General features: G+C 41.0%; 1 annotated feature.

Moving 5' to 3' along the window:
• Positions 977-1594: an enhancer, noted in NCBI's record as "NANOG-H3K27ac hESC enhancer chr10:2848111-2848728 (GRCh37/hg19 assembly coordinates)". NCBI's record gives its function as "activates a minimal SCP1, AML or CMV promoter by ChIP-STARR-seq in primed H9 embryonic stem cells {active_cell/tissue: H9 hESC(primed)}" and the evidence as "EXISTENCE:reporter gene assay evidence [ECO:0000049][PMID:30033119]".

Here is a 3399-nt window from a genome sequence, read left to right on the forward strand (position 1 = left end):
CATCCCAAACCCTGGAGCCATGGTCACTCCATGTATTGGTGCATTCTGGTCCCAGGTTTCATGGTTACTCCACAATCACTCACACATCTGACACTGCCACCCTGCCACTGCATGGTAGACCTAGAACAAAGAGAAATATCTTCTAAGATGATTTCCCTATGAGGGTCAAAGACAGAATAGTATGATCCCAGCAGCCCTAGCTGCCAAAAACTGTACTGTCTTTATTGATGCTAACCTCAACTGACAGAACCATACAGAGACTACACTGCAGTACTCTCTCTGGAGCCAGAATTGTATCACACATCCAGTGCTTCTGTACTGACCTATAAGTGAATGTTCTTCCTCACTGAAACTAATTTGTAAACTCTAGAAGAGGTGACTGTTCTATCAAATGTAGACGTCGACGCAAAACTACATGAAACCCCTAAATTTAAGGAAACATAATACCACCAAAGGAACGCAATAATGTTCCAGTAACTGACTCCAAAGAAATTGAGATCTAGGAATTGCCAGACAAACAATTCAAAATAATTGCCTTAAAGAATATCAGTGAGCTACCAGAGAATGCAGATAAACAACTAAAAAAAAAAAAAATCAGGAAAACAGTACATTTACAAAATATAAAGTTCAACAAAGAGATTGAAATTACAAAAAAGAAACAAACAAATTCTGGAGATGATAAATACAGTGACTGAACTGAAGAAAAATTAATAGAGACTTTAACAGCACACTTGATCAAGCAAAGAAAGAATCAGTGTGAATTCATAGACAGATCACTTAAAACTACCCAGTCAGAGGAAAATAATGAGAAAGAAAGAAAACAAAGGGTCATCTCTTCAACAAATGCTGGGAAAACTGGATATCTATGTGTAGAAAAGTGAAATTGAACCTTTATCTCTAGCATATAGAAAAATTAACTAAAAAAGGAATTAAAGACTTAAATGTAAGACCTAGTATCATAAAACTACTAGAAGAACAGATAGAGAAAAAGCTTTTTGATATTGGTCTGGGTCATTATTTTTCTTTTTTTTTTTTTTTTTTATTGATCATTCTTGGGTGTTTCTCGCAGAGGGGGATTTGGCAGGGTCATAGGACAATAGTGGAGGGAAGGTCAGCAGATAAACAAGTGAACAAAGGTCTCTGGTTTTCCTAGGCAGAGGACCCTGCGGCCTTCCGCAGTGTTTGTGTCCCTGGGTACTTAAGATTAGGGAGTGGTGATGACTCTTAACGAGCATGCTGCCTTCAAGCATCTGTTTAACAAAGCACATCTTGCACTGCCCTTAATCCATTTAACCCTGAGTGGACACAGCACATGTTTCAGAGAGCACAGGGTTGGGGATAAGGTCACAGATCAACAGGATCCCAAGGCAGAAGAATTTTTCTTAGTACAGAACAAAATGAAAAGTCTCCCATGTCTACTTCTATCCACACAGACCCGGCAACCATCCGATTTCTCAATTTTTTCCCCACCCTTCCCGCCTTTCTATTCCACAAAACCGCCATTGTCATCATGGCCCATCCCCAATGAGCCGCTGGGCACACCTCCCAGACGGGGTCGTGGCCGGGCAGAGGGGCTCCTCACATCCCAGACGATGGGTGGCCAGGCAGAGACGCTCCTCACTTCCCAGACGGGGCGGCGGCCGGGCAGAGGCTGCAATCTCGGCACTTTGGGAGGCCAAGGCAGGCGGCTGGGAGGTGGAGGTTGTAGCGAGCTGAGATCACGCCACTGCACTCCAGCCTGGGCACCATTGAGCACTGAGTGAACGAGACTCCGTCTGCAATCCCGGCACCTCGGGAGGCCGAGGCTGGCGGATCACTCGCGTTTAGGAGCTGGAGACCAGCCCGGCCAACACAGCAAAACCCCGTCTCCACCAAAAAAAAACGAAAACCAGTCAGGCGTGGCGGCGCGTGCCTGCAATCGCAGGCACTCGGCAGGCTGAGGCAGGAGAATCAGGCAGGGAGGTTGCAGTGAGCCGAGATGGCAGCAGTACAGTCCAGCTTCGGCTCGGCATCAGAGGGAGACCGTGGAAGGAGACCGTGGAGGGAGAGGGAGGGGGAGGGGGAGGGGGAGGGGGAGGGGGAGAGGGAGAGGGAGAGGGAGAGGGAGAGGTGGGTCATTATTTTTCTGCATATGACACCAAGAAAAAGCAAAAATAAACAAATGGGATTGCGTCAAAATAAAAAGCTTTTGCACATCAGAGAGAACAGTCAATAGACTGAGTCAAAAGACAAACTACAGAGTGGAAAAAATATTTGCAAACCATTTATCTGGTAAGGAATTTTAATATCCAATATATAAATAAGAAACACATGCAACCCAATAGAGAGATAACAATAATAACAAAATTTTAAAATGGGCAAAGGATCTGAACAGAGATTTTCAAAAGAAGACATACAAATAGCCATGATGTGTATGAAAAGTTTCTGAAACTCATTCTCATCAGGAAAATGCAAATCAAAACCAAAATGAAATATTGCCTCCCACCTGTTAGAATGGCGGTAATTAGAAAGATGAAAGATAGTATGTGTTGGAGAGGATGTGGAAAATTAAAACCCTGTACATTGCTGGATTGAATGTAAGTTGGTACAGCCATTATGGAAAACATTATGGAGATTCCTCAACAAGTTAAAAATAAAGTTAGCTTATATAATTAGCTATCTCTTTCCTGATATACATCCAAAGGAAATAAAATCAATATGTCAAAAAGACATCTGCACTTTTATGTTCATTTCAGCATTATTCACAATAGCTGAGATATGCAAACAATCTAAATGCTTGTCCAAAGATAAATTAATTAAAGTGTAATTATATATATATACACACACAAAAATACATATATTTAGTATATACACATATGTGTGTGTGGTTAATATATATATACAAACCACATTTTCTTTATTCATTATACACACATATATATTTATTTATATTAAAGAAATGTATGTCACCTTTAAAAAAGAAATACATTCTGCTATTTGAGATAACATGAATGTACCAGGACATGCTAAGTGAGAAAAGCCAGGCACAGAAACTCAAATAGTGCATGATATCACTTCTATGTGAAATCTAAAATAGTCAAATTTAATGAACCAGTGATTAGAATGGCAGTTACCAGGGCCTAGGTGGAGGGTTGCAAAGTCTCAGTATGCAAGAATAATAATTTTGGAGCTCTAAAAGACAAATAAGCCAGTTAAACAATGGACAAAATATTCACTGGCTATTTCCCCAAAGAAGGTACATAAATGACCACTACACAGGGAAAGAATCTTAACATCATTGGTCATGAAGAGGATGCAAATGAAAATCTTGAGATACCAACTCATACCCATAAGGATGGCTGTAATGAAGAGAGACAATAACAAGTGTTTACAAAGATGTGGAGAAACTGGAGCCCTCAT

Source organism: Homo sapiens, chromosome 10, assembly GCF_000001405.40.
Source record: "Homo sapiens chromosome 10, GRCh38.p14 Primary Assembly".
Lineage (NCBI taxonomy): Eukaryota > Metazoa > Chordata > Mammalia > Primates > Hominidae > Homo > Homo sapiens.